Source organism: Homo sapiens, chromosome 6 (genome assembly GCF_000001405.40).
Source record: "Homo sapiens chromosome 6, GRCh38.p14 Primary Assembly".
Lineage (NCBI taxonomy): Eukaryota > Metazoa > Chordata > Mammalia > Primates > Hominidae > Homo > Homo sapiens.
Window position 1 is genome coordinate 157,201,634 of NC_000006.12, and position 12,460 is coordinate 157,214,093.

The following is a 12,460-nucleotide window of genomic DNA, read 5'->3' on the forward strand; positions in this document are numbered from 1 at the left end:
AATATAGTTGGAGGCTGCTAATCTGAATTAAGAAATAGTGCCAGAAAGATTGGCCGGGCGCGGTGGCTCATGCCTGTAATACCAGCACTTTGGGAGGCCCAGGCGGGTGGATCACGAGGTCACGAGATCGAGACCATCCTGGATAACACGGTGAAATAAAATGGTAGTTTTACGTGTGAATGTTATTTGTGTGAAAGATTAGAGCTTCAAGTAAGAGATCAGGGAATCCTGAGTGGTTATATGCTGTATTTTGGGCTTAAAGATTTGAACTTAACCAAGCCACTTAATCACTACAATACGTGCCTAACAGACCCCCCCATGAGGCTAATGAAATGCTAAAGGTGACCTGAGAAAATCTGAAGGCAAGCCACTCTGTAATTTGGTGACAACATACAGTGAATTTCCGTGGGAAAAAGTTAAAGCTTGTATGTAATATGTAGATTGATAGATGGTATGACATAAAGAATATGCTATGCTGTGATACATAGAACTGATATCATCCAATGCACTGGTAGACTTGGGCCAAGAACCATGTCAATCGAATGCTGATGTTGCTTGTTTATCCTCTGTGGGATGTTCTGAATACTAATCAGAGGTCTGGACTATCTGGAAGTACACACAGGGTTTCTGCATTATTTTTGAAGTACTTTTAACACAGGAAGGAAGATAATAGATCTGAGTTATATTAGGAAAAATTACTCAAAAAATATCAAGAACAAATTGACTTAAAATCTTTTTCAGTGATTAGAAAATTAAAGATATTAATAATTTGAAAGACATCAATCACTGGACATTAAGGAGATGTAGATTGAGAGACCAGGGCAGGAGAATCACTTGAACTCAGGAATTCGAGACCACCCTTGGACAACCTAGCAAAACCTCGTCTCTACTAAAAAGAAAAAAAATTAGCCAAAAGTGAGATTCATTTCTGTAGTCCCAGCTATTCAGGAGGCTGAGGTAGGAGGATCACTTGAGCCCAGGAGATCAAGGCTTCAGCAGTGACTGTGCCACTGTATACACACACACACACACACATATTCCTTTATATATATCTATCCATTTATATATAATGCATGTGTATCTATATCCCTTTATATATATATATAGATAGATATAAATATAGATATATAGATATATATAGAATATGTGTGTGTGTGTATTTATATGGGGTTGCAGAGGGAGAGAAGGAGACACAGACACTGAGCACCATTTTATATATAGAAATATATACACACACACACACGTGTATTGTGTGTTTATGTGTGTATATGTATGTTTAAATAAATACATCTAAATTTTCTAAAAATCTCCCAGTGCGGGTTATATAGCATTTGTCTTCAACCTAGGGAAATTTACATGTTTATTTTTAAAAGTAATTTTGATTTTTTTATTGTAAAAACAGTATGTAGCTATCTTAGAAAATTTTAAAACAGATAAAATAAAAGTGGAAAAGCCACGGTGTCTCCCCCTCATGCAATGATTCTTGGTGCCTGGAGAATGCCCCCAGCCTCCAGGCAGCTCCAGGGATCTGGCCGAGCTGGGTCTCATGGCAAATCTTCCAAACTTTCTACCTGATCATTTTGTTTCCTTCAGTAGCAGGAATAGGGAAAACAACAAATTACTTCCCATTCTGTGGCTCCAGCCATACTCCTGAGAAATCTGAGCCATCAAAGTGCTAATATTTATCACAGCATGTTCTGAGGGCAGGAGCACAGGACTAGAGGAAAGCAGCCTGGGAAGCCAAGGCCGTGTGTCTGAGGAGGCTGTCTTGGAGTTAAATTTTGCTTCCATGTTCTGCATACTTGGCGGCCTTCCAGGACGCCACCTTGAGACACTCGTGAGTGGTGAAGCCAAAAGAAGACAAATACCACTTTTGGGTTTGACTCATTTATTAAAAGCTCTGATACCACATTGCAGACTCTGTAGGGTGGCTGAAAGAAATAACCCGGCCATGAGAAAGGACCATCTGTGCTCAACCACTCCACCTCCAGAAGCACTTTCGGCCCCTGCGTGACCAACAAAGCGAGATCTGAAACCACAAAAGTTTCTCGTTACAGCTATGGCCTCCATTTAAAATCGGAAATGATCACGCTTAACTGTCCTTGAGAGCATTTGTTTAAAGTCAATATTTAACTTAACACTCCACTTATTTTTTCTTACTCTTTCGTTAACTTTCGTTCTTTCATGCATAGAGTCAACATTCATGATATCCTTGTTCTTCCCCATCTTCAGTTACTCCTGAGGCGTGGCGTGTGATGATGTCCCTTAAATCAGGTCTTTTGGCTGAGAGTACGTGGGCTTTGGACACTATTAATATTCTTCTGTATGATGACAGCACTGTTGCTACTTTCAATCTCTCCCAGGTAAGCCAGCATAGTCCAACTAACAACCAAATTAGGATAGGAGAGCATCAGGCCATGCACATTTGTGCTTGAACTAATGCCTGAGTTGATGAGCACTGACCGTCCAACACTGTTAATCACTGCAGTTGTTATCAACCAGCCTTAATCAATGTAGAGTTATCTGGGATAATATTCACTGTAGTCTTTAGTGTGTGTACACACACATACCTCTATTTCTTATGAGAGAACAGTGACTGTGTGTGTATGTGTATATGGGATAGATGACAGTAGTAACATTAAATTGTTCAGAATGAATATTAGCTGGCCAATGGGAAGAAATCAAAATGTAACATTAAGTTGTGACTGGAGTCAGCATTGGAAACACAGTTGGTTGCAATGGGACATAACCCTGCTTTCCAGGAGGACTTGACATCTTCTTTTCATTAAAAAGATATTCAAGATTTAGAAATTTTATATTCTATACATTTATAGAATGTATAAATATATATAGAAGGAGAGAGAGCAGTTTAATGAACCCCCATGTACCTGTCAGTCAGCTAAAATAGTTATGAACTCATGGCTAAACTTACTTCTTAGTCTATGCTCTCTCATTTCTGCCTCTCTCCAGGTTATTTTGAAGCAGTCATGTAAAAGCCTACTACTTTTAATGAGCTTAAACCCCTCCTTTGTTCAGAGGTAGGCTTCAGGTAGCTTCCAGCATAATAGCTAGAAGAGAGGAGCACTGAAGTTTGGGGAAAATGCCCGAGTCCACTGGGCTATAGACTTTTAAAGAAATATTTAGAAATAAAAAATGGAAAAAGGTCATTTTCCCTATAGTATACAAACAACTCTCTACTTTGAGTGCAAAAACTAAAACACTTAATTTCCTTGCTTCTAAGGAAATAAGACCAGAATCTTCTACTTCTTTCTTCTCTCATTTAAGCCCTCATTATCAGCCTAGAAAGGCAATTTTTCAATTGCTAGAAAGTTTATTAATAAGGTCATAAACATTGTACGAGTTCTGTGTTAACAGAAAATAAGTATTTAAAAACTGTATACTGCATTTGCTAGAGTAATGCGCTTTCATCCTTATGTTAGGTGAACTGTTGTTGATCACATATTTGCATAACCAGAATTGCTTTATTAACTTTCCCTTTTCCCCTGGAAAAAAAAGGGAAAATGCCCTTGGAACATTGTGCCTTCAGCACACTAAAAGCAGTTCTTTCTAGTTGGTGCTGGGGGCTTCCCCTGACTTCTTAAAAATTGTTCCAACTCTACTTTCAAGAAACTGACAGTAGGATATGAAGGTATAGCTGATTTCCAGAACATCTACCGGGAAAGAATCCTTGTTAGAATCCTTGTTACTTACTCTTTAGAGTTCCTAAACATGGTGGGGGGTGTTGGGAGAGAGGGCAGTTGCTAATCGTGAAGTGTATTGGTTTTTTCTTGGTACAGTTGCTTAAAGGAAACCAAACTTGTTCTTGTAGTCAGTGGTTCTCTCATAGTGGTTTTTGCCTTTCAGCTAGAGTCATAAATAACTGAAATGTAAAATTGCATTTTATGAAACATTTTAATTTATTTATCATAGGCTAAATTGATTTGTTTTTAATTTTCAGTGTTCATGAGCTACCACATTGCTGAAATTATCTTCTCCAAAAGATATATAGAGAACATAAATTAGGGTGACCTATGGTACCTGAGACAAAAATAACCATAAAATCCTAAGAATAACAACCATAAAAATCCCGGCAAGCAAGTCTCAGATAAATAATAGAAGAGAACAGAGTCACTTTGGGCAAAAGAGTCTATAAAATCCATGTTCCCACTCTTCTAATAATGAGTACATTGTCTCTAAATCAGGAACAGAAAGGTAAAGAACAGCAAGGCACTCCCTCAGTGATAAGATTAGAGATATGAGAATAAAAAGTAAGTTTTCGTGTAGATAGTCTAAGCAAGGAAGCAGCAAATAAGGAACATGCTAAACATCGGTTTAGTTTATACTGTAAAATTCAGGAAGTTCGCTGGACCTGAAGGGTAGTTTATCTTTCATGGTCCAGCCAAAAAGGGAGACAAACGTGTGACAATGATGGAAAGGTATTGACGGGTCTCAGGATCTTTACCCTCCTCGGTCATATCTGATGTCATGACATTGTACCTGTTCTTTCTTTCTTCTCCTCCTCCTCCTCTCCAGTTGTCTGGATTTCTCGAACTTTTAGTCGAGTACTTTAGAAAATGCCTGATTGACATTTTTGGAATTCTTATGGAATATGAAGTGGGAGACCCCAGCCAAAAAGCACTTGATCACAACGCAGCAAGGAAGGATGACAGCCAGTCCTTGGCAGACGATTCTGGGAAAGAGGAGGAAGATGCTGAATGTATTGATGACGACGAGGAAGACGAGGAGGATGAGGAGGAAGACAGCGAGAAGACAGAAAGCGATGAAAAGAGCAGCATCGCTCTGACTGCCCCGGACGCCGCTGCAGACCCAAAGGAGAAGCCCAAGCAAGCCAGTAAGTTCGACAAGCTGCCAATAAAGATAGTCAAAAAGAACAACCTGTTTGTTGTTGACCGATCTGACAAGTTGGGGCGTGTGCAGGAGTTCAATAGTGGCCTTCTGCACTGGCAGCTCGGCGGGGGTGACACCACCGAGCACATTCAGACTCACTTTGAGAGCAAGATGGAAATTCCTCCTCGCAGGCGCCCACCTCCCCCCTTAAGCTCCGCAGGTAGAAAGAAAGAGCAAGAAGGCAAAGGCGACTCTGAAGAGCAGCAAGAGAAAAGCATCATAGCAACCATCGATGACGTCCTCTCTGCTCGGCCAGGGGCATTGCCTGAAGACGCAAACCCTGGGCCCCAGACCGAAAGCAGTAAGTTTCCCTTTGGTATCCAGCAAGCCAAAAGTCACCGGAACATCAAGCTGCTGGAGGACGAGCCCAGGAGCCGAGACGAGACTCCTCTGTGTACCATCGCGCACTGGCAGGACTCGCTGGCTAAGCGATGCATCTGTGTGTCCAATATTGTCCGTAGCTTGTCATTCGTGCCTGGCAATGATGCCGAAATGTCCAAACATCCAGGCCTGGTGCTGATCCTGGGGAAGCTGATTCTTCTTCACCACGAGCATCCAGAGAGAAAGCGAGCACCGCAGACCTATGAGAAAGAGGAGGATGAGGACAAGGGGGTGGCCTGCAGCAAAGATGAGTGGTGGTGGGACTGCCTCGAGGTCTTGAGGGATAACACGTTGGTCACGTTGGCCAACATTTCCGGGCAGCTAGACTTGTCTGCTTACACGGAAAGCATCTGCTTGCCAATTTTGGATGGCTTGCTGCACTGGATGGTGTGCCCGTCTGCAGAGGCACAAGATCCCTTTCCAACTGTGGGACCCAACTCGGTCCTGTCGCCTCAGAGACTTGTGCTGGAGACCCTCTGTAAACTCAGTATCCAGGACAATAATGTGGACCTGATCTTGGCCACTCCTCCATTTAGTCGTCAGGAGAAATTCTATGCTACATTAGTTAGGTACGTTGGGGATCGCAAAAACCCAGTCTGTCGAGAAATGTCCATGGCGCTTTTATCGAACCTTGCCCAAGGGGACGCACTAGCAGCAAGGGCCATAGCTGTGCAGAAAGGAAGCATTGGAAACTTGATAAGCTTCCTAGAGGATGGGGTCACGATGGCCCAGTACCAGCAGAGCCAGCACAACCTCATGCACATGCAGCCCCCGCCCCTGGAACCACCTAGCGTAGACATGATGTGCAGGGCGGCCAAGGCTTTGCTAGCCATGGCCAGAGTGGACGAAAACCGCTCGGAATTCCTTTTGCACGAGGGCCGGTTGCTGGATATCTCGATATCAGCTGTCCTGAACTCTCTGGTTGCATCTGTCATCTGTGATGTACTGTTTCAGATTGGGCAGTTATGACATAAGTGAGAAGGCAAGCATGTGTGAGTGAAGATTAGAGGGTCACATATAACTGGCTGTTTTCTGTTCTTGTTTATCCAGCGTAGGAAGAAGGAAAAGAAAATCTTTGCTCCTCTGCCCCATTCACTATTTACCAATTGGGAATTAAAGAAATAATTAATTTGAACAGTTATGAAATTAATATTTGCTGTCTGTGTGTATAAGTACATCCTTTGGGGTTTTTTTTTTCTCTTTTTTTTAACCAAAGTTGCTGTCTAGTGCATTCAAAGGTCACTTTTTGTTCTTCACAGATCTTTTTAATGTTCTTTCCCATGTTGTATTGCATTTTTGGGGGAAGCAAATTGACTTTAAAGAAAAAAGTTGTGGCAAAAGATGCTAAGATGCGAAAATTTCACCACACTGAGTCAAAAAGGTGAAAAATTATCCATTTCCTATGCGTTTTACTCCTCAGAGAATGAAAAAAACTGCATCCCATCACCCAAAGTTCTGTGCAATAGAAATTTCTACAGATACAGGTATAGGGGCTCAAGGAGGTATGTCGGTCAGTAGTCAAAACTATGAAATGATACTGGTTTCTCCACAGGAATATGGTTCCATTAGGCTGGGAGCAAAAACAATGTTTTTTAAGATTGAGAATACATACCTGACAACGATCCGGAAACTGCTCCTCACCACTCCCGTCATGCCTGCTGTCGGCGTTTGACCTTCCACGTGACAGTTCTTCACAATTCCTTTCATCATTTTTTAAATATTTTTTTTACTGCCTATGGGCTGTGATGTATATAGAAGTTGTACATTAAACATACCCTCATTTTTTTCTTTTCTTTTTTTTTTTTTTTTTTAGTACAAAGTTTTAGTTTCTTTTTCATGATGTGGTAACTACGAAGTGATGGTAGATTTAAATAATTTTTTATTTTTATTTTATATATTTTTTCATTAGGGCCATATCTCCAAAAAAAGAAAGAAAAAATACAAAAAACAAAAACAAAAAAAAAAGAGGGTAATGTACAAGTTTCTGTATGTATAAAGTCATGCTCGATTTCAGGAGAGCAGCTGATCACAATTTGCTTCATGAATCAAGGTGTGGAAATGGTTATATATGGATTGATTTAGAAAATGGTTACCAGTACAGTCAAAAAAGAGAAAATGAAAAAAATACAACTAAAAGGAAGAAACACAACTTCAAAGATTTTTCAGTGATGAGAATCCACATTTGTATTTCAAGATAATGTAGTTTAAAAAAAAAAAAAAGAAAAAAACTTGATGTAAATTCCTCCTTTTCCTCTGGCTTAATGAATATCATTTATTCAGTATAAAATCTTTATATGTTCCACATGTTAAGAATAAATGTACATTAAATCTTGTTAAGCACTGTGATGGGTGTTCTTGAATACTGTTCTAGTTTCCTTAAAGTGGTTTCCTAGTAATCAAGTTATTTACAAGAAATAGGGGAATGCAGCAGTGTATTCACATTATAAAACCCTACATTTGGAAGAGACCTTTAGGGGTTACCTACTTTAGAGTGGGGAGCAACAGTTTGATTTTCTCAAATTACTTAGCTAATTAGTCTTTCTTTGAAGCAATTAACTCTAACGACATTGAGGTATGATCATTTTCAGTATTTATGGGAGGTGGCTGCTGACCCACTTGAGGTGAGATCTCAGAAGCTTAACTGGCCTGAAAATGTAACATTCTGCCTTTTACTAACTCCATCTTAGTTTAATCAAAGTTCAATCTATTCCTTGTTTCTTCTGTGTGCCTCAGAGTTATTTTGCATTTAGTTTACTCCACCGTGTATAATATTTATACTGTGCAATGTTAAAAAAGAATCTGTTATATTGTATGTGGTGTACATAGTGCAAAGTGATGATTTCTATTTCAGGGCATATTATGGTTCTCATATTCCTTCCTACCTGGTGCACAGTAGCTTTTTAATACTAGTCACTTCTAATTTAAACTTTCTCTTCCTGGGTCATTGACTGTTACTGTGTAATAATCGATTTCTTTGAAACTGCTGCATAATTATGCTGTTAGTGGACCTCTACCTCTTCTCTTCCCTCTCCCAATCACAGTATACTCAGAATCCCCAGCCCCTCGCATACATTGTGTCGGTTCACATTACTCACAGTAATATATGGAAGAGTTAGACAAGAACATGCAGTTACAGTCATTGTGAGACGTGACTCTCCAGTGTCACGAGGAAAAAAATCATCTTTTCTGCAAACAGTCTCTCATCTGTCAACTCCCACATTACTGAGTCAAACAGTCTTCTTACATAACAATGCAACCAAATATATGTTGAATTAAAGACCCATTTATAATTCTGCTTTAAATACATCTGCTTGCTAAGAACAGATTTCAGTGCTCCAAGCTTCAAATATGGAGATTTGTAAGAGGGAATTCAATATTATTCTAATTTCTCTCTTACAGAGTACAAATAAAAGGTGTATACAAACTCCGAACATATCCAGTATTCCAATTCCTTTGTCAATCAGAAGAGTAAAATAATTAACAAAAGACTGTTGTTATGGTTTGCATTGTAACCGATACGCAGAGTCTGACCGTTGGGCAACAAGTTTTTCTATCCTGATGCGCAACACAGTCTCTAGAGACTAATCCAGGAAGACTTTAGCCTCCTTTCCATATTCTCACCCCCGAATCAAGATTTACAGAAGCCCACGAAGAATTTACAGCCTGCTTGAGATCATCTTGCCTATAAACTGAGTTATTGCTTTGTCCTAAAAATTAGTCGGTTTTTTTTTTTCTATGAGGCTTTTCAGAAATTTACAGGATGCCCAGACTTTACATGTGTACCAAAAAAAAAAAAAAGATAAAAAATAAAGGTGCAAAGAAAGTTTAGTATTTTGGAATGGTGCTATAAAGTTGAATCTGTTGGTATTTGAGTGGATTTTTTTAATGTCACATAAGAGATACTGGGCGGCGTCTGCTCAGCAATAGCTATTCACAGTGTTTTGTTCGAGGAAGAGAATGATATAGAAGCATGTTTTACTGATGAAGGTGGCCTGTTCAAAGACTAGTTAAGCTGTTTTTTCAGAGTTATAATGAAGAATGATTTTTTTAAGGGCATATGGGCAGTCTCATACAATGTAAGCTATTAACTACCTCCTTTATGAAAAGAAGCCAGCCTTTGCCCTGAAGTCCATCCATTTAAAACTGTTGGAAATCTTTCATTTCCTATCAAACCACATGTACCTGTTCCCATGTCTGTTCACCTTTGAGGAAGCAAAGAAAGTATTATAAATGAGCCACAAATGGACAGTGCAAACAGTCCCTGTTCTTCTTGCTGAGTGTTGGTTCACTTCTTTATTTCGAGGGCCGTGGCCCAGCTGCCTGAAGTCCTGCTCAGCACCAGCCTAGAAGAACTTGGAAGTAAACTTCATGGTCAGGCAAGATTGTTAAAAACTCTGATGAATACACTTGGTAGCAGCATTTAATCTGCGAACAGGCAACATTACTCATGAATTTAACAGAGATGTGTTGAGCACATGCTATGTGCCTGGCTCTGTTCTAGGCTCTGAGGAGTCCTCAATAAACAATGACCCTGTTTCAATTATGTTCTAGTCTTCCATGTCAGACAATTATAGAAATAAACTAGTCTTCCAAATACAGTGTTTTACATTGAAAACACTCAGAACGCTCCATGTTTATGCACTGAACACTTTTTTTATTTTTCCAAAGACAGGGTTTAGCTCTGTCACCCAGGCTGGAGCACAGTGGCATGATCATAGCTCACTGCAGCCTTTAACTCATAGGTTCAAGTGATTCTCCCACCTCAGCTTCCCAAGCAGCTGGGTTTACAGGCATGTGCCACGACGCCCAGCTATTTATTTTTAAGAACTTTTTGTAGAGATGGGGTCTTGCTATGTTGCCCCAGCTGGTCTAGATCTCCTGGCCTCAGGCCACCTCTGCTTCCCAAACCTCTGGGATTACAGATATGAGCCACCATGCCTGGCTGAAAACACTCATTTTTGTTAAGAAATAAAAGTAAGATACTGGCTATTGAGGATAAGGGGGTGTGATGAGATGAGCTCTGGACTGAAAATCAAAAACACTTAAAAGGTTAAGTCTCATCTGGGGTGTGGCCTGTAGGCTCCCAACTGTGCTCTGCAGTTGTCCAAGGCCCTCCCGTTTAAGAGCTGCTCCTGCAGAGCATACAGTTCCTGGCCTGCCCAGGCTCCCGCCAGCACGCTGGTGAGTCCTGATGTGGAAGGAAAAAGCAGCAGTGGCTTGGTACCCGGTGCTCCCAGGCTCCACCATCAGCCCTTAGAAATGCAGGAACTGACTGCACCTGTACAAAGGCCGTAGTCAAGGCCTCCTGACCCCAAGCCCCACGCTGTCAGGTGCATCCACGTGCATCTCCAGGCACTGTGCTAGCGCTTCTACCCTTGCTTTCTGGTCCTGGTTTGGTTTTATGATGATCCAAGTCATGTCATCCTCTAAAGTGCCAAAGTCAAATTGCTGAGTTAATTCACTTTGGGATTTAAAATGATGAAACCCTGAGGGAAAGCTGGTGGGGCTGGAGGTGGGAGGGGCAACCGTCAAGTGTGTCCTAAACATGAGACTCATTTGTCTTCTTCCTGAATCTGATTTCAGGGACTTAAAGTTTTACCCCAGCTTTTTCCAAAGTGTATTCTAAGAAACAGAAGAGATCTCCAAAAAATCTCCTTATGTATTCTCTTGGCAATCCATAGTCCATATTGCCATATTAAAGATAGAAATCCTGCAGAAGAGACACCTGTTATAATCCAGGCATTTCCTGACTTAATTAACCTTGGAATTAAAAAAAAAAAAAAAAAAAGCAATTCCTGAAAACATGCTGCAGAGCTTTGGGAAACAACTTCATCCACCAGTGCTCATGCCTGGCCATTGCCCCGGACTGAATGCTCCTTGCATTCTTACTCCTGAAACCAAAATTAAGATGTCCTCATGGGAGGAGAGAACATGGAATCTTCTCTTGCTATCTCCACGGCCTTGAGCCAGGTACTTAAATTATTTGAACCTCAGTTTCCTTGTCTGTAATATGGGCATGACACCCATCTCAGGGGATTGGTAAGGATTAAATGAGATGATTAAAGGCCTTGTCACATGTGACCGGTGAATATTAACCCCAAACATCCATCCATCCATACATATAGACTTCTCCTTTGGCTGGTGTCCTAAAATGTGTTTCACACAAAGTCCAAGAGAATAGCTTCCCATTTTCATAACCAGTCACACAGCTTGTGTGACTCTTTGTTGCTGTTTTTGGTTTATAGTAAAACGTCCCTATGTCCATCTGACCTCTACATCCCACCACCCTTACACCCTTGAATCTGCCTGGTCTTTTAAGGGCTTCAGCTGGCGGCCACTGCCCTCCCCAGCCCGGCCCACCCTGCTTGGGTTCTGCAAAACCCCCCATGGGTTCGGCCTCCAGTTCACTCCTCAGATCCCCACATCTTTCTGATTGAGGATCCCATTCTGTTGTACCCATATTTAAAATTGCCCGTCATCTCACCAAGGCCAGCTTGATTCTGCATAATTTCTCTACCGAATGTCAGTTTTGGGTGTCCAACACCCTGCAGTGGTGGAAGATCGCACCTTTTTCGCAGACCTGGGGGAAGCAAATCTCTGGACTACAGTCACACAGTAAATTTGCTCTGCCCTACCCTGCCCTAACCTAAGAAAGTGTCTTGTAACACCTTTTAAAGGTCAGATGTGGCAGGTGGCCGACCACAGTGTTTAATTTGATACTCCTTTTCATCTGACACACAGCAGAGAGAGCCCCTCTAAAGAAAGAGCACTACGGTCTTCACGCGTAGCTGGAGATGGGCTGCAGTGCTGTGGGCTGGAGAAGTGGGATTCACGATACTCTTCACTTCCTGGTAGGCTTAAGGTCAGGTGAATCAATGAAGCTTGAGCCTTGATCTGCGTAAGTTTGGTATTTAGCTGGCCCGGGATTTGTATATTTACAAACTAGATTTTCCCCCAAGAGTTAAGGAACCGAAGCTTGGATGAAGCTTGGATGCGGCTCCTAAAGATGGTCTTCACCAAACAAAAGCGCTTCCTTCAGGCAAGAGCCACAGCATTTGTCGAGTTGCCTCCTGGTAAGTGGTGATTACTTCACATTTGGATGTTTTTTGCACTTGAAAGAATTTCATGGCTATTAGTGGTTCTTCACAGAAGCCTTGGTATGGAACATTAT

The 12,460-nt window shown here is 41.2% G+C and overlaps 1 protein-coding gene across 37 annotated transcripts in view, besides 1 other annotated feature; it reads left to right on the top strand.

Moving 5' to 3' along the window:
• ARID1B (AT-rich interaction domain 1B) overlaps positions 1-9,146 on the top strand; it is a 434,754-nt gene extending 425,608 nt beyond the window's left edge. For all 37 annotated transcript variants that reach the window (NM_001371656.1, XM_011535984.3, XM_017011105.3 and 34 more), the window contains 2 exons: positions 2,233-2,363; positions 4,534-9,146. In NM_001371656.1, coding sequence (NP_001358585.1) covers positions 2,233-2,363; positions 4,534-6,258 — 1,856 coding nt within the window. In that variant the 3' untranslated portion in view covers positions 6,259-9,146. The remainder of the gene's footprint in view (positions 1-2,232; positions 2,364-4,533) is intronic.
• Positions 5,358-5,857: an enhancer, noted in NCBI's record as "H3K4me1 hESC enhancer chr6:157528125-157528624 (GRCh37/hg19 assembly coordinates)". NCBI's record gives its function as "activates a minimal SCP1, AML or CMV promoter by ChIP-STARR-seq in primed H9 embryonic stem cells {active_cell/tissue: H9 hESC(primed)}" and the evidence as "EXISTENCE:reporter gene assay evidence [ECO:0000049][PMID:30033119]".